Source organism: Homo sapiens, chromosome 5, assembly GCF_000001405.40.
Source record: "Homo sapiens chromosome 5, GRCh38.p14 Primary Assembly".
Classification (NCBI taxonomy): Eukaryota; Metazoa; Chordata; class Mammalia; order Primates; family Hominidae; genus Homo; species Homo sapiens.
The window spans coordinates 168,045,486-168,063,466 of record NC_000005.10 but is presented as its reverse complement, the minus strand read 5'-3'; the positions used below and the strand labels follow the sequence as shown (position 1 = coordinate 168,063,466).

At 40.7% G+C, this 17,981-nt stretch overlaps 1 protein-coding gene across 33 annotated transcripts in view, besides 1 other annotated feature; it reads right to left on the bottom strand.

Moving 5' to 3' along the window:
* Positions 1–17,981, bottom strand: part of TENM2 (teneurin transmembrane protein 2) — a 1,285,129-nt gene that overhangs the window by 200,691 nt on the left and 1,066,457 nt on the right. For 32 of the 33 annotated variants that reach the window (XM_047417418.1, NM_001395460.1, XM_017009661.2 and 29 more), the window contains 2 exons: positions 15,918–16,040; positions 1,202–1,407 (listed from right to left, as the gene is read on the bottom strand). In XM_047417418.1, the coding sequence (XP_047273374.1) occupies positions 1,202–1,407; positions 15,918–16,040 (329 nt within the window). The remainder of the gene's footprint in view (positions 1–1,201; positions 1,408–15,917; positions 16,041–17,981) is intronic. The other variant, NM_001080428.3, reaches the window with a different exon arrangement.
* Positions 14,981–15,738: an enhancer, noted in NCBI's record as "NANOG hESC enhancer chr5:167474734-167475491 (GRCh37/hg19 assembly coordinates)". NCBI's record gives its function as "activates a minimal SCP1, AML or CMV promoter by ChIP-STARR-seq in naive and primed H9 embryonic stem cells {active_cell/tissue: H9 hESC(naive and primed)}" and the evidence as "EXISTENCE:reporter gene assay evidence [ECO:0000049][PMID:30033119]".

The window sequence follows — 17,981 nt, the reverse complement described above, 5'->3', positions numbered from 1 at the left end:
AACCCACTGGTTTTTTCACAGGATATACAATTCTTATTGGAAAAGAAAACCAAACTAGGTAGGTGTTAATTTACCCCAGGTGTTATGTATAATAATAGAACTTCCACCACGACAAACTAAGGGAAGAATGAGAGAAAAAATAATGAAATCCATAATGTAATCCAATCTCTTCACTTCCAATGCTGTGAATAATCTCACTTTCATAGTGCCAAGGACTTCCCAAGGAACTTAGTACAGGGGAGCCACAGAGAAACATCTGCTGAATTTTAGTTTATGTTACATTATTCTTTTCATATATACTGAGATGTCTCCTAGTGATATTTTAACAAATTAATCCAATAACCAGAACATCTGAACAGAAAGTACCCAGTGATTAACCCCTAAACCTAGTAAAGCTGTTTTCATCAGGTTGGGATATTAGCATTTATTTTTTGGAGATAAAATTCATACGACACTGTGAATAACTGTAAGGTGGGTAGCTTTTGTGATTTTACAATGCTGTGGCTTGAGTGTATTCACTATGTTGGGTAAACCATCACCTCATTTCAGGCCATTACTATCACTACCCCCCAAAAACCCCGTGGCAGTTAGCCCCAATTCCCAGTTCCTGGCAACCACTAACCTCCTTTCTGTTTCTATGTATTTGCTTATTCTGGACAAAACACATAAACGGAATCATGCAATATGTGGCCTTTGGTATCTGGCTTCTTTCACTTTGCATAGTGTTTTTAAAGTTCATCCATGTTGTAGCATGTAACAATACTCCATTCCTTTCTATATCTGACTAATGGTACGGCTATATCGGATTTTGTTTAGCCACTCACCAGTTGGACATTTGGGTTGGTTCTACTGTTTGGCTATCATAAATAAGGCTATGATGAACACTGATACATACGTTTTTGTAAGAAAATGGTGTTTTCAATTTTCTCTGGGTATATACCTAGAAGTGGAATTGCTCAATCACATGGTAAGTCTACATTTAACTTTGTGAAAAACTGTCTCTTTTCCACAACAGCTGCACCATTTCACATTCCCACCAGCAATGTACAAGGGTTCTTATTTCTCCAAATTCTCGCCAACATTTTTATTGTCCATCTTTTAATTATAGGCATTGTAGTGGATGTGAAGTGGCATATATACACACACACATATATACGTATATATTTTTTTAAATGCTTGATTACATCAAACATGGTCATACCTGGGCATGAGATGGTGGAAGTCCTCTTCTTATGTAAACACCAAAGAGAGCGTCCTTCCCGAGGGAGATGTTGAACTTTAAGAACTGGGGCTGACTGATGTGAATTTGTGACCTCCAAAACACCCCTGGTGGGACTTCTTGTGTTACCCGCCGACCAACTTCTGCTTCACCACTGTCTATGCTGCTGTTTTTCAACGACCAGGGCACTGAAAAAAAAAAAAGGAATAAACAGCAGTCAATGACGTGTATAGATTAGTTGGCTCTATATTTGTTTAATTACATGCCAGGTTTTTTTTTGTTGTTGTTTTAATATTAAGATTAAACTCATGGCAAGTTTCTTTTTAAGTTACAGCTAAAACATTTAGGTTTCAAATAACAAAGCTATAAATGCACACCCCAGGGCATCCGAAATCTTGGCACAATGCTTTCTAAAATTATGTTATTACTCTTTACTGATCAAATATAATCAGATCTGGAGCCTGATAAATACATGTAAAGCTTCCAACTATCCCAAATGTGACTGGGATGTAAAACTTATCAGCAGGGGAGGGGAGGGTGATGTTAATTTGGCACCAAATTTAATTCTTGTAGCCTTTCATTATTCTTTCTAGACACAAATATACTCTGACATTTTCAACAAAAATCAGCCCAGAATAAATAAAACAACTCAGTAGAAAATGAAGACTTGAAACTCAAGCAGATCTTGAGTTAGAGGGAGAAGTCTAAGAGCCGCAGAGAAACAACATCTCTCCTTCATTTATATTAATGCATCTCTGTTGCATTATTTAAAATTGCTTATGTTGAAAATATTGGTTGCCCACACTCAGTATCCTTCAGAACTTTAATAATAGGAATTCCAAAAATATCTATTTTTAAAGTGGAGTTCTTAAAAACAATGAACCAGTCAGCACCCCCTATACTTCCAAGTGTGGTTTCCCTTGCAACCACAGAATTAAGGAAAAGCTGAGCGTGACTAGCAGTTGCCCAAGAAAAGCAAGTTAATCAATCTCTGAGAGCTTCATTTTCCTTATCTCTAAAATGGGGAAAAAAAGTCTCAGTATAAAGGCCATTTGTGATTCCTTCAAATCGATTCTGAACTTGCTAAGAAATATAAAATATTATTCTTCTATATTCCTAAGAACTGCTGAGCCAACTGAAATAAAACAGAAAGAACTGAGGTCATTCTTGTTTTGAGGGGAGTCTTTTCATTTCTGGAACCCCCGATCACTTTTGTGACCTTGTAGATCCAAAAATTTCTTCAGCCTGATGGGGCCAGGATGCTCCCCTCGACATTCTGTGAAGGACTAACTCTTCTAAAAATATTTATCTATCATTTGGCCACCAGATATTGCAAAGGTTTCAGATGATCCTGAGAAATGAGAAAATTGCTAAAGACTGGCCTAAACGGTGAGCGAGCCTGTCTGACACTGTCTCTTGGTCCCAGTTTCTCTATGTGTAAAATGGAGAGATGACACTTTTGGTCTCTGAAGGTCTTTCATGTCTAAATTATAAAAGAAAACCACAGAGTGATTTGAAGATATAAAGTTTTTCCCTCTTATTTTCTTTAAAATATGAGGTGATTGATTTTTATGCAGCTCAATACGAAGCCAGCAGGGACTTAAAATAAAGCAAGAGAAACACTGGTTTCGATCTTAAGAATAACCCTTTGACTTCTAGGATAATAAAAGTAGGGAATGAGGTCCGAAAGGAAGTTTGGAAGCCTCCTTCACATCTCATCTTTAAAAATAAAATAAACAGCCAGAAGTCCTGAGTGGTTCAGACCTTCAGATGGGGACTAGACGGTTTATTTAGCAAACATTCTGAACTTTTGTTTTGTTTTGTTTGTTTTTTTGAGACAGGGTCTCACTCTGTTGCCTAGGCTAGAGTGCAGTGGCACGATCTCAGCTCACTGCAGCCCTGACCTCCTGGGCTCAAGTGATCCTCCTGCCTCAGCCCCCCAAATTAGCTGGGACGATAGGCATGGACCACCATCCCTGTCTGCTTAAAGTTTTTTTCTTTTTTCTTTTTTTTTTTTTTTCGTAGAGACAAGGTGTCACTATGTTGCCCAGGCACTGGTCTCAAACTCTTGTTCTCAAGTGATTCTCCAGCTTTGGCCTCCCAAAATGCTGGGATTACCTCTGTGAGCCACCACACCCAGCATGAACTTTTAAATGTTGGCTAACTTTTCTAATGGATACTGATTACTTACCTGCAGGGGGAGGAATACGGCATCATGTTTAAGAGCAGAGACCCTGGGCTGAAATTGCCATGGCTCAAATCCTAACTTTGATACTGGCTAAATGTATCTTGCTCTGCTTCAGTGTCCTCATGTGTATAGATGGGACACTATTTATTTCACAGGATTGTTATAAGGTTTTACTGAGGTTAGGCTGTGTAAAGCTCTTAGAATAATTTCTGGCACAAAATAAGTATTATTACCTGTAAGGCCCTAACCCTAAATTAGGTGTTGTTTATTTGGGGGTTTTGCTAAAACAATGGCATGTCCAGGGGGAAACACTTGTTATCACAACAAGTTGATCAGGAGCTCTCATTACTATAAACTGGAAACTAAATTTTACTTTAAAATGCTGCATTTGATACCCCTTCCTTGGGGAAGGGATATAATAAAAAGGATATAAATAAAAAGAAGGAATATAATAATATAAAAAGGAGTAAGGAAGGGACATAGTAAGAGAGCCGCCTGGGGAAGAAGAGTGTGTGGGCCTCTGATAGGTACCAAAAGAAACCCCAGCAATCAGCATGGCAACAAGTTAAAGAAATGCATTATAAATAAAAAAAGAAAACTTTAAAAACATGATTCATCTTTAACTTAATAAGCTTGGCTTTCCTTTATGTCTGTTGGGCTTTCCGGCATTGCTGGGTTAATGACAGGATATGAAAAAGAGGCAGGAAATCAGCACCCACGAGTGTTCTAATCTACTGTGGAAACCTGAATGGATTGTGATATCAAGCCAGATGCAGATGCTGGAGATGTGCAAGGGAACTTGTCTCCAGGGAGCAGCTGTTCTGGAGAAATTCAGACAAGGAGCCCCAGTGCTTCTTATAGCAGTGAGGTCCTCTTCCTTATTACACCCTGGCCTCAGGACACTGACTAAATTAGCTCCCACTACCAGCCAGCACAGGCTACTTCCTCAGTAGTCACAGTGCCCCTTAGGGTTTTAGATCCTCGCTTCCTCATCCCATTCACTAAATAAGGGAGTGCACCTGGGGGATGAAGTACAGAAGTCAGATAGAACTGTGTTTGAATCCTGGCTCTGCTTCTTTTATGCTGTGTGACCTCTAGCAATTTGCTTAACCTCTCTGGATTTCCAGTCCTTTTTTTTTGTAAAATGGGAACAATAGTTCTAACTGCCTTGGAGGGTGTAACAAGTAGAAGCACACAAAAGAGAGATTAGTATAGTGCCTAACATGAAATAATCATGAAATAATTGCTAAGTTCTTACATGGAATGAAAAAAAGGATGAAAAACTATGTGGGAAAGCATCTGGCTTTCTTTGCAGAGTAAGGAATTCTCTAAGAGACAAAAAATAGTGTGGGCACATGCAATATACATGAATGTCTAAATGTCTATTTGTATATATCTAGCTCTCTATCAAGAGTCTTATTTTTCTGGAATAGATTCATTTATGGGGACAAGCTTAAAACTGGGAGTCAGGGCCTGGTTCAGGTCAAGTGCACCTTCACACTAAAGTTCTACTTTCCTTTACAATACCACCCCAACCACTGTCCTCAGCCAGACAAAATTGTTTTCTCTGTGTTTCTATAGCAATTATGCTTTTCTGCAGCCCACAGCAGATGTTGTTAGGTATTGTACTTGATTTTGCATGCCTTCCTAAGTCTCTGTCTCTGGACACTGTGCTCCCTGAGGTCAGGCAGAGATGCAGATTCATCTCTAGGTTCTCTAAGCTTTGCACCTGGCAAATGTAAGTGATCTATAAATGCTTATTGAACTGGATCAAACTCTACAAATCCATCTGGTGGGGTATTGTAACAAAACCCCTGTGATGACAGGGTAAAGTGAGAGCCTTAACAAAGATTTACTTTGAAAATCTACATGTGTAAGGAAAATGGATGTGCTGCGGTCTAGGCCGAGGGAGACATCCTGTCACGCATAACTCAGCAAGTTTGGAGCACAGGCGCACAACTCCGCTCATTATGTAATTATGCCATGTGAGGCGCATTAGGTAACCACTCATGTGAGCTTGTGCTTGGCTGGGAGCCACTATTGTCTGTAAAAGGTATAACTACCCTGCTGATGCTGTACATCCAGCTTGCAACCAGGCTCGCACCCAGGCTCACTCATGCCCAGAGAGAGAGAGAGAGTAAAGCCATATTGAAACTGTCTATGATTCTTTGAGGGTTTTTCCAGCTACCCACCACTCTCCCACCGACTCCCCTCAGACCTCAGTTAGAACCTGACAACATGTAAACTGAATTTTATTTATTAAATAAAATAAAATTTTAGAAGCTCTATATGAAATTTACTATTGAAATAACTTTTCTTGTGGATCCTTTTGAAGAGTCATGAGCAAATGCTTAATTTGCCTTTTGTGTAAAATCTTAACAATAAACAAACAAACAAACAAACTGGGAGAGGTGTGATATGGTGAGAAAATCCTTAGATTAAGAACCAAAAGTCAAGAGTCCTAGTCATGACTTAATGACTTCGAAATGTTTGTGGAAGGAACAGGTGTAAATGAATGATTATGTTGAATTTCCATCCTTGTTACTAAGCAGCTAGCTAGTTTTAGGCAGGTGTATTTCTCAAAGTCTCAATGTCCATATCTATATTAGAGTGTCTCAGACCCAAAGATATCTTAAATGGCATTCCTTATTAGCCTATTGTGGTCTCAGAGTGGGTCAGGAGGATCATTGCTGGGTATATGCTATGAAGAAGTGTGAGTGTGAGTGAGTGTGTGTGTGTGTGTGTGTGTTGGGCGAGGCGACAGGGGTAGGGGGTCAGCAGGAGGGAGGAGGAGTTATTAGAAAGCTTTTAGGCTTGTTAACAGGTGACTTCACTTTCACAAGCTCGATTTATTTAACAGAAGATATCCATATTGTTAAACAAGCTAGTGTTTGCTTTCAAATTAAGTTCTTCAGGTGTGTAACTGAATTACACTTTTGGAAAGAGGGGTTTTCACTTTTTACTCATATATATGTACATATATAGATTTTTTTACACACATTCTTTCTCTCTATATATATACAGTCATGAGTCACTTAACAACAGGGATACATTCTGAGAAATGTACTCTTAGGCAATTTCATAGTGGTGTGAGTATACTCACACAAATCTAGATGGTGTAGCTTACTACATACCTAGGCTATATGGTATACCCTATTGCTCCTAGGTTACAAACATGTACAGCATGTTACTATATTGAATACTGTAGGCAACTGTAACTCAGTGGTACTTGTGTATCTAAACATAGAAAAGACACAGTAAAAAAATATGGTATAAGAGATAAAAAATGAATGGTACACCTGTATAGGACACGTACCATGAATGGAATTTGCAGGACTGGAAGTTGCTTTGTTTAAGTCAGTGAGTGAGTGGTGAGTGAAAGTGAAGGGCTAGGACATTACTGTATGCTACTTTTGACCTTGTAAATACTGTAGACTTAGGCTACACTAACTTAATAAAAAAAGTAACTATACTATAACATTTGGACAGCTAAGATGTCACTAGGTGATAGGAATTTTTCAGCTCCATTATAATCTTATGAGACCAGTACTGAATATCTGGCCAATCATTGGCTGAAACACTGTTTTGCCATGCATGACTGTAATCTATAGGCCTTATTCAAATTTGTCAATTGTTAGAGAAATATTCATGATAGCAAAAGAAAAGTTTTTTATATACTTTTTAAAAATCTTGAAAATGAGTGTGTATAACTTTTGTAATTTTAAAAACAATGAAAAAGAGAAAAATGTACAAATACTGCCTCCAAAGAGATAAAAAGAAAAGGTGTTTTTCTGTAAATTGCTGCAGCCAGCATGGGGAACCATCTCAGTGACTCTATTCCTGGAGGTCAAATTTCTGGGCCGATGTCCAGGAGGACAGATCTCTGTTGTTCTCTAAGGTCAAAAAGAACAGCATCAAAGCCAGGCTGAGTTCCATGAAGAAGGACTTGAAGCTGGGCTTCCCTGAGCCATGCCAGCTGTTCCAGGACCACCAATATGGTGAGTCCCTCACAAGACATCACTGAGAGGCAGACAGCAAGGAAACAAAGTAGTTAAGATTTTTATCTTTATCTTAAAATGTCTAATGCCTAGCTAGACATTTTAAGGTCTAGCTGAATATCCTATTGAGAAGTTCTGAGACCTTAAGGAGGCAATGTTGCCCAGTGGAGCTAGTCAGCCTGGGTTTGAATCCCAGCTCTGATAGCTACCAGCTGTGTGCCTTTGGGCTAATCAAAAGCCCTCTCTGAGTCTGTCTACTCATCTGTATTTTGGGGTGCTTCTGCATGTTGTACCTAAATTGTAGGTGCTCTACGTCCTTCTGTCCTGTCTGTTGTGATGCTACCTAAAATCAGCTGTAAGTACTTTTTTTCAGTTGCGGGGGGTGAATTTGTGATGGCCTAATAAAAAATACAGGCTGCCTGCTGTAGGCACTATTAATGAAAGAGGGCCAATGGGTGGAGTAGCCCTTAATAAAACTGGCAGTCATTTTCCAGAGCAGCTGAAATCAATATACAGTGAGTGACCAGTACATCTGCAGACTGGGAGGGGCAGACAACAGGTCACATGTATTAAGATACGATGGTCAGAGAAAACTGCATCACCAGTTCATTCTCTGCAAATTGCTGGTGTTGGTGTGTGGTCTAGCTGCTTCTCACATGGGCAACTCTGTGCAGTCTGCGTTATTGAAAAGCAGCCAGATTTTATTTATTTAACAATGATTAAGAAATGTCCTAAGCAATGTTGGGTGGGCCATTCATTCATACTTCCATGCAATAAATATTTATCAAGCATTGACTATAACAGTAGGTATTCTTTGGTCAACATCAGAGTTGGGGTGTATGTTGTATTCCCATTATCTCTTATCTAGGCAGCCTGTTGTCCAGCGTCCTATGAATTCACTTTGAGATTGAATTAGGGGCATCAAGAGAAGAGGCATTAAACAGCATCCTGTAATCATTCTGTGAGGATCTCACTGGTATCCTTGGGTTCTAGGCAATGACTAGGCCTGGCACCCTGGCATGCAGGAACCAGTCCAGTTCATGTCTCCCAGAGTTGGGGCTTCCATGGCAAACCTTTCAGTCTATCCAAGAGCTGCACAATGAAAAGTGTCATGATGATCATTTTGCCCTAAGAAGCACGTGCTTAAGATACAATTGTTCTGGCTAGTTCATCTTTAGCTTAGAGATGAGATTTCTGGGTTTTTAGAGGCAACATTCTAATGATCAATTTTACAGGATAGTCCAACTCTATAACTCCACGGAAGATTGCTCATGTAAATGTGAAACTATTACCTATTTCTGAAATATGTACCTAAAATTTCAACCAGTTAAACACGACTGATGTTGAGCAAAATGACAGCCTTCCATAGCTACATTAGGAGCTAATCATTTCAGAAAATGTTGCCATAATTCATTTACAGAAACAGTGAAACTATTCCCCAAACAAGTGATAAAGGGAATGGACTCATAGTCATACCAGGGAAATGAAGCCTCATATTAATACTTCCTAACTTAACCGAACTCTGGAGGCACCTCAGCATAAATCTGCCTTGCAGATTATTCTGCCTCACATATTTTTATCTATTGCAAATAAAATTGAATTCAGAATATTGCTACAGTCATTACACCTCGTTTCCATTTATTTGGGAATCAGGACAACCATCTGAGGGTTCTGTTTAACCAACAGATAAGTGAAAAGATTCTTCCAAGGACCTTAGATTGACTGCCCAAGAATACAGCTCAGCTGAGACATCAGCAACCCATCAGCCTTCACCCTGCTGCTGGCTGGCTATACTTTAGGAATGCAATTACATCCTGAAAGTCACTGCTTCTGTGATGGTGTTCACAACATCACACAATAATGACTTTTAGAAAATGTTTCAGCTCTTGGGACTACATGTGGCTTTTACATCTTTTGAAATTTCAATTTGTTGCTTTAGATAAAAATAGTCAACTCTTTGCCGCTAGGAACGTTAACAAGTATTTATACCTATGACTCTTCAGATGAACTTGCTCCTGCATTAATATTTAGTTTAGTTTACTATTATTGATAGTAGCTAAAATTTATTGAGTGGCTGCTAATCACCATGTAATCTCCTGATACTCTTACAATTTTTCCTGTTTTTCAGATGAGAGAACTGAGGTTCATGGAAGATAAGTGACTTGCTTAGGGTCACCCAGCTTTTTACTGGTAGATCTATGATCAAAACCCACGTCTGACAGACACTAAAACCCATGTGGCTAACCCCTATGCTGACTGCATTCAGGCCCACAGTCATCCCTTGGTATCCACAGGGTATGGATTCCAGGACCCCTGTGGATACCAAAATCTGTAAATGCTCAAGCTCTTTATATAAAATGGTGTAGTATTTTCACATAACCCATGTATGTCCTCCTCTATAATTCACATTATCTCTAGATTACTTATAATACCTAATACAATGTAGATGCTATGTAAATAGTTGTTATACTATCATTTTTATTTGCATTTTGTGTATTATTATTATTCCAAATATTTTCAATCTGAGGTTGGTTGAATCTGTGGATACCCGTGGGTATGAAGGGCCAACATATCAGAGGTATACCACAGGTACATATTTAGAGATCATAGACCAGATATCTGGGTGTACAAGTCAATTCTGAAAGAGAAGTGTGGCCAGTGAGGATATGGGCAAATGCACAGAAAGGGAAATTGGATCTCATTATTAATGCCCATGTCAAGCCACCATGATGCTATGTACAACAGAAACTATGCAATTTAGAATGGGGCTATGGGTGGCAATCAAAAGCAAAAGTCCACCAGTATAAGTGCATGTAAGTAGTACCCATCTGCAACAATGTAGAACAGCATGGCCTCCTAAATGAGGGGAGTTGTTGGGTTGGTAGTTAGGATGTTGGTATATTTGCCAGTAGACGTGCAGTAAAGGGGTGTTTGGCTCAAACATAATGACCCTTTGCCCTTCTGGGAACTTCACCGACTTTGGAAAAGCCCCATATAGGGAAGTGATCATTTTAAAACCCTGGGCTGTGTTCATTGAGAGGCTGATGAGAGCCAGCGGAAGAATTTACGAACCTCCCTGCTAATCTGGCTCCTAGTACCACGCATTAAGCCAACTAGTAAAAATCATTATGAAGTTTCTGCTGAAAGGGCAAGTGTAGAAAAACATGTTTCTAAACAGAATAACAGTCTTTGCCATTTTTTTCCAACTTGCATACCATCTGGAAATTCTAATTTTTTTTTTCAAAGGGTAGGAAGGAAATGTGCTCCAGGCACAAATAAATGTTTACAGCTGAGTTATAAACCGAGAATGGTAGGGCTTAAAACAGACAGGCTGGCAATGATGGAACTCAAGCTCCAGTGAGACAAATAATGCAGTGTGGAGGGGCCAACTTGGTGTACACATTGGCCCTTTGGAATAGGAAGACCTGCTTCCTACTGACCTCATCAAGCCAATGTTGGGAAGAAATCCTCATCTGGGGTTTGGTTAATTCTTAGAAGGTAAAGGAAAAAGGTGAAGTGGTATTGTCTATCTTCATATTCTGAAGGCCGTCTTCACCTTTGTTTTATTTTATATATATACATATATATGTGTGTATATGTGTGTGTGTATATATATATATACACATACATACACATATATATGTGTGTGTGTGTGGGTGTGTGTATATATGGACACAGAGTCTCGCTCTGTTGCCCAGGCTGGAGTGCAGTGGCATGATCTCAGCTCACTGCAAGCTCCGCCTCCTGGGTTCACGCCATTCTCCTGCCTCAGCCTCCCGAGTAGCTGGGACTACAGGCACCCACCACCCCGCCTGGCTAACTTTTTTTTTGTATTTTTAGTAGAGACGGGGTCTCACCATGTTAGCCAGGATGGTCTTGATCTCCTGAGCTCGTGATCGGCTTCCCAAAGTGCTGGGATTACAGGCATGAGCCACTGCACCTGGCCTATTTTTATATTTTTAAAAATAGGGATGAGGTCTCACTTTGTTGCCCAGGCTGGTCTCGACCTCCTGGCCTTAAGTGATCCTCTCACTTTCGCATCCCAAAGTGTTGGGATTACAGGCGTGAGCCACTGCACCTGGTTGGTCTTCACCTTTGGAAAATATAGCCTCTCAAAAGATGTGACAGGCCATGGAAACTTGTTAAATGGACCAGCTGAGAGATGTAAAGATGACATCAGTTTCAACAACTAAGACTCGTGGATCATTTATTACATGCCTGATGCCACATGCAATGTTTTACAAGGGTCATCTCATTTATGATGGACAGCAAGCTTATGAGGGAGTTGCATTTCACAGATGAGGAACTGGAGGTTGGGAGAGAACAAATGACCCACTTACAGTCATACAGTTGCTAAGTGATGGAGCTGGTGTTTGTATCCACCAGACCAACTCCAAAATCCTATATTATAGTGCATCTTCCAATGCAAAGTTACCAAGAATATATTATAACTAGGGCTTGGTCAAGTAGGAAGAAGTGATGTATTGGGAGTTTGATCTTCCTCTTCTGGACTCCTATAACTTGGATAGTTATAGGAAAAGTTCTAGAAAAGTGGAAATGGGATTGGCAATGATACAGAGTGGCCATCAAACTTTTTATTTTTTTTAAAGGGTCAGATGGTGAATATTTTAGGCTTTTTGGGCCATATAGTCTCTGTTGCACCCACTCAATTCCACCATTTTATTCTGAAAGTAGCCATAGACAACAGGTAATAGTCATGGTGGTGTTCCATTAAAACTTGATTTATAAAAACAGGCAGCTGGCCAGATTTGGTCCATGAGATGTAGTTTGCTGACCCCTGATATAGAGGACAACTTGAATCTAAAATGAGTGATAGGTTTTGAGAATGATCCATGCAATTCTATACTTGATAGTTTATTCTTTCTTAAAATCTGTGCACAAATTGGGTACGTATGATGCGCCCTTTAAAATCTCTTGTATGCTTTCCCTGGGCCTGGCCAATCAAACTGAATTCCCTTATGTTATCTGACCAGGTCAGAATACTGTATTGAATCGTCTTTCTCAAGGCTTATCTAATCCCAGATCTACAGAGAAAGTTCTCCATGCCCTTGTAATGAAGATGTATGAGTTCATTCCTTTTAACATAGAAATACACACAAGATGGTGAGTGATTCTGGCAGACTGTGTGTTCCCTCTTCTTGATGTGAAAGCCAGCAACAATTCATGTTAAGGTTTAATTGAAGGAGAGTGGAAGAAAGAAAAATAAGACTCGAACAACAACAAATGGAAAACGGAAAGGCAAAGACCAAAGAATGTACTCTCCCAACTAATTAATCAAGTGCTTTGTTTCCACCAACATATCAGAGTGTGTAGGCTGCCCTGTCTATTAGACTTGTTCCCAAACCTGAGGAATGTAAATACTCCTAAAGACCAGGTAATGAAATCTCTATCGATGTGCCATCTTAGATGGGACTCACATGCCTGTGTTTTGCTTACATTTAATTTGCTTCTGCTGGATACTTATCCAGTAATTGCTTAATGAGATTATCCTCCTTGGCAATGTGTGGTGTATCTTGGTTAAAACATTGGAGTGAAGGAATATCCTACACCAAAAAAAGGAGGCGGTGTTATTTAATTAACTTATTGCCAATATATCTTGATTGTCTCTTTGAAACACTGGAAAAGAAGTCGATTGGAATTGATTCAGGTTATCTAAATGTATAGAATTGGGGAATGGGGAGCGCGGAGGTCACTGGGTATACAAATTCAAACCCAAGGTCACTTTTGATAAAAGAAATAGGCATGGGTGAGAGAACTGAAAACATTTTAGTCATTTTATAAGCCAAACCTTAAAACCACTTAAGAAGAGATCTGATCTCTTTTTAAGTTTCAAATTTTATTTCATCTCTAAGCAATTTTAAATTCTCACACTTTTTTCTTGAGTATTCTATTGACAAAATTCACTGGACAATGATTTGGCAAACATTTTGTCTGTCTCTGCTGGGCACAGTGGCTCATGCCTGTAATCCCAGCACTTTGGGGGGCCGAGATGGGAGGATTGCCTGAGCTCAGGAGTTTGCAACCAGCCTGGGCAACATGGTGAAACTCCGTCTCCACTAAAATACAAAAAATTAGCCAGGCGTGGTGGCACATGCCTGTAGTCCCAGCCACTCTGGAGGCTGAGGCAGGAGAATTGCTTGAACCGGGGAGGTGGAGGTTGCAGTGAGCCGAGATTGCATCACTGCACTCCAGCCTAGGTGACAGAGTGAGACTCTGTCTCAAACAAAACAAAACAAAAAAACAAAATAACATTTTGTCTGTCACATAACTTATTTGGAAAATATCTGAACTAGTAATGTTATATGACTTCTACAACAACATTTTCAAAAGCATGTTGCACAGGAGGGGAAAAATTCTGGTCTTTCCAAAGACACAATGGAAAGTGTTTCTTCATTTGTTAATTTAGAGACGCATACTCTTGTACTCTTAAGATTTGTTCTATGGGTGTGGGATGCAAAAGCTGGTGGGGAGCAGAGGTAGAAATAGAGGCTTATCACAAATGGGAGGAGTGCTTGATCTTGACCTTAATTTACGGAGGCCAGTAGAGATCACTAATTCCCATTTATGAAGGACACTACTCGAAAAGCATTGGCATATAATTTCAGAATGTATACACATATAAACAATTTCTCTGTGCCCAATGATAGAATATGCATATTCATTTCACATGTGTGTTATGCATTCTTCTGAAGGGATGAGGTGCTGACTTGTAGATTAAAGGACATTTATGGATAAAACGTGACGGAGACCCCATAAAGTGGAGTTTCCAAGGGCAGCACTATTGTCATCTTGAAAGGAGATAATTCTTCATCACAGGGGGCTGTCCTGTGTATTATAGGTTGTTTAACAGCATCTCTGACCCCTATCCACTAGATGCCTGCCATGCCCCTTCCAACTGTGACAATCAAAATAGTCTTTAGACATTGCCAAATGTCCTCTAGGGGTGCAAAAATGCTATGACTAAGAACCATTGCCCTAGATAAAACTGAAGGAGCAGACAGTGTCAAGTACTGGAGGTGACCAGGTTTCAAATCTGAGGTCAATACATTTGGCTCTGGGCTTTTTGGTCAGTTAAGGCAGAACATGGTCAGTTAAGGCAAAATATACTTTTCAGTTTTAGGTCTAGTTTAACTTACCCGATTATGGAAAGCATATAATTTCATCCTCAGATAAAACTTTTTCATGCTTACTTAAAGGTAATTTAGTGTTATGATTATGACAGATGAGTACAGCGATTCTTAAAGACTGGATAAAAAGACAAAAAAGTCATCCTCAAAGCATTAGGACAGCTCTGGGGAGGATAATTGAAGCAGCATTAGCATCTCAGGATGACTAATGTGCACCTCTGGGGGCAGATGAATTCTGGAATCTTCTTTGTGGAAAATGACTGCTTGAAGGAAAGCTCCAACCTCCTGCCCAAAGATGCACAGGGCACAACTCTGAGTCCAAATTTGTACCTATTTGAGTAAGTTTCTATACCTTCTGGTCCTGAGTTTCTCAGAGAGATTTTTCCTTCCTTTAAAGTTGTTAAAGTTATACAATGCTAAGCCTGGCATGCAATAGGTGCCTAATAAATGCTGCTTCCTTTCCCTTCTTTGAAATATCCCTGTAGGGTGTTTCCGAAATGTGGGGGTGAAGTGGCTATAGATGCTAAAAGGCAGAATGGAAATTTGCATGTTGGAGAAATCCTTTAATACAATCTCTCCCTTGCGATTTCCATCCCGAATTAAGCATATCTCACTGCGTGCCAGCCTGGCTAACCATTCCATTGGCTGCTCTGTCTTAATTGCTCCAGTCTCCCCCACCCCCACCCTATGGTTCTGTTTTCTCTCCTCCTTCTTAGCACCTTGTTAGCACCTTTTTTTTTCCCTTCAAGGATACAGTTGCCTGATTGCTTCAATAAACATTTCTATTGTCCCCTTCACTGTTCTGAGAAGAGAAGCTTTGTTGCCGAGTTGTCAAAACTCCTTTCTATTCTCCCCCAAAGCACAGCAGCTCTGAGCCTTTCTCTTTCATGCCAAGCCAGGCAGCTTCCTCCCCAGGGAGGCTGCATGTCTCCTGGGAGAGGGACCCAGTCTGATGGCATGTGCTGCCTGCTGCTCTCTGCCTTCTGATTAGGCAGGACTTTCTCCTGCTGCTGCTGCTGCTGCTGCTGCCACTCCAGCTGCTGCTGTGGCTGCTGTTTCTGCACAGGCCCTGGGATGCTTTCAAGTAGCTCTGGACCATGCCAGTTGCTGCAGATAGCATAGGTATGCACATTGCTCTGAGCAGGCACTGTGCCAGCTCTGAGTGATCCAGCCAAACACAGCTAACAGACAGGAACAGCAAACAGCTTTTAATGGGGGCACCTATGAAAGGCAATGATTTTTCCCCCCGTTTCTTTTTCTTTTGGCATACCTTCCAAGATTTGGATTAGAAAACCTGAACCAGCTGGCGAGAGCTCAGAATTTTCCTGTGACCTCAAGAGGGCAAGCAGCAGCTGTAACCTCACCTTTGCCTCCAGATGGCATTGTTGCCACATCATCGTTTCCTGGTAAGCCGGTCCTTATCCCATTGTTAAAGGTGTGCCCATCTGCAGGCTGGAGTTGCCAATTGAGTCCGAGCAGATGCATTGCTGCAGGAGAGACAAAGTAATGAAAATATGAATAGATAATTCAGCAATGCAAATGTCAAGGGGGAGGGCCAGGTGCCCTTTTCCAAGCGATTGCCTTTTGAGGAAGCTGCGTCAAAAATGGCTTGCCCCAGGCCACAGGGATTAGCTAAATACAGAAAGCAGAGACCTGGGTGGTTAGGTCTCCCCTTCTGGCGCTGCTGCTCACAGTCTCAGGGGGAGAGGATCCCTTACAGTGAGCGGAGGAGGGAGGAGAAAACACAGCCCAGATCTTCCAAACGGTGCCACCATGGAGGGGAAAATGGCCCTTTCGAATCACTGTAAAGAGTGCTGCTCTACCACATCCATCCTTTTCTACACTCTGGACACAGTTGCTTTTAGACTGTTAGTCTAGGGGCATTGACAAGGATTGTTTCCCCAAACTATACACTCACAAGTAAATCAGCTTCAAAGGAGGCTACCCGAATAGTACCTGTTTGCTGGTACCTGTTTGCTGGTACCTGCTCTGAACTATCAGTGCAGCCAGCAGCATCTATAGTGGTACTGGCCCACCTCCCTAACTATTTCAAACTTTTAGAATATTTTTCCTTTCCACTCCTCTTCATGATGAGTGGATACCTTTCAGCACATTGTAGAAAAAGCTTGGGGGGTTGATGGTGGAATGGGGTCCTTTTCTGAAAACATTACTATTCTTTCTGTCTCTGTCGCTCTCACTTTAGCAGAGTATGGAATGAAACAGAGTTCTGAAATACTGCCTGTTCTTTGCTAAGGAACTGAGCACGTCTGAAGAAGTCTTGACTCCCATGGGCACCCCAGGCCTCCAAACAAACTTCTGGTCTTCCTTGTCATCCTGCCTGTGTCAACTCCCCACCATGAGTTTAGCAAACTTAACACAACCCTATCCCTGATGGTTCTTGGTGAGTTTTTTCTACTGAGTGGAATGAAAAGCAAACCCTAAACACCTGTATTCTTTCAAAGCCCTTATCTAAGAGATGCTTCCTTTGAGAATAAGTAAGGAATTTATTCCCCTGCATGTCTCTCATCCAAACGATGTCTGGCATTTCCACTGGACACAGGTTGACACTGTTGCTACATTCCTACCACCGCAGGAGAGAAAGGGCTGTTGACAGGGAGACGTTTGGAGTCTGATGTGGGGATGGGAGAAACAATTATCTGCAGGGAACACAATTAACAATGCTTAGGAAATTGTTCACACAGCAATTAATTCTGCATGCCTACCACCACGTAAAGTCAGACTGCATTCTATTAAGGTTAAAAACCTATCTTCAAACAATACAGCTCAGATTGATGGCCACAGATGAAGGTGGCAAGGTGTCCGTGTGTGTGTGGGTGTGTCTGCTTTTCACTTACACTCTTCTCCATCTTAGAACCATGTTTTCTTTCCTCTAAAGTGAAAGGCCCACTGTTACAACTTCTTGAGATGATAAATAGTAATAAGAGTAAGTGACATTTACTGTACACTTTCCATCAAGGTAACACCTAATTTTCTCCTGCAGTTTGTCCGTTATATGTAGGTCACTCACTTGAAGAGACCAGATTCCATTGCCTCAAATAATGACATATTTTCACTATACAGAGGTCAGGAAATGAGAACTAATCATGGTGGCTTCAAGATAACGATAGCTTCTGATTTGTAATTACCAGGTGAAGGGAGCCAAGGAATTAGCTATTTTAAAATAATTTTTTAAAAAAATGATACTATTGGGTTATTGAAGCTCGCCTTGGGCCAGCTGCAGCTGCACTGGAGGTGCGGTTCTTTCAAGGAGGGTCTTAAGACAGACACTGGCAGGTACTGCAGGTGCCGCTGGAACCCAGGCCTAACAAAGCTTTGATTTCACGTCTATGGAAGGAGTGGTGGGTCCCATCAGGCAAAGATGACAACCTCCCCAACATCCCATCTCAAACTCTTGTCAAAACTGCTCT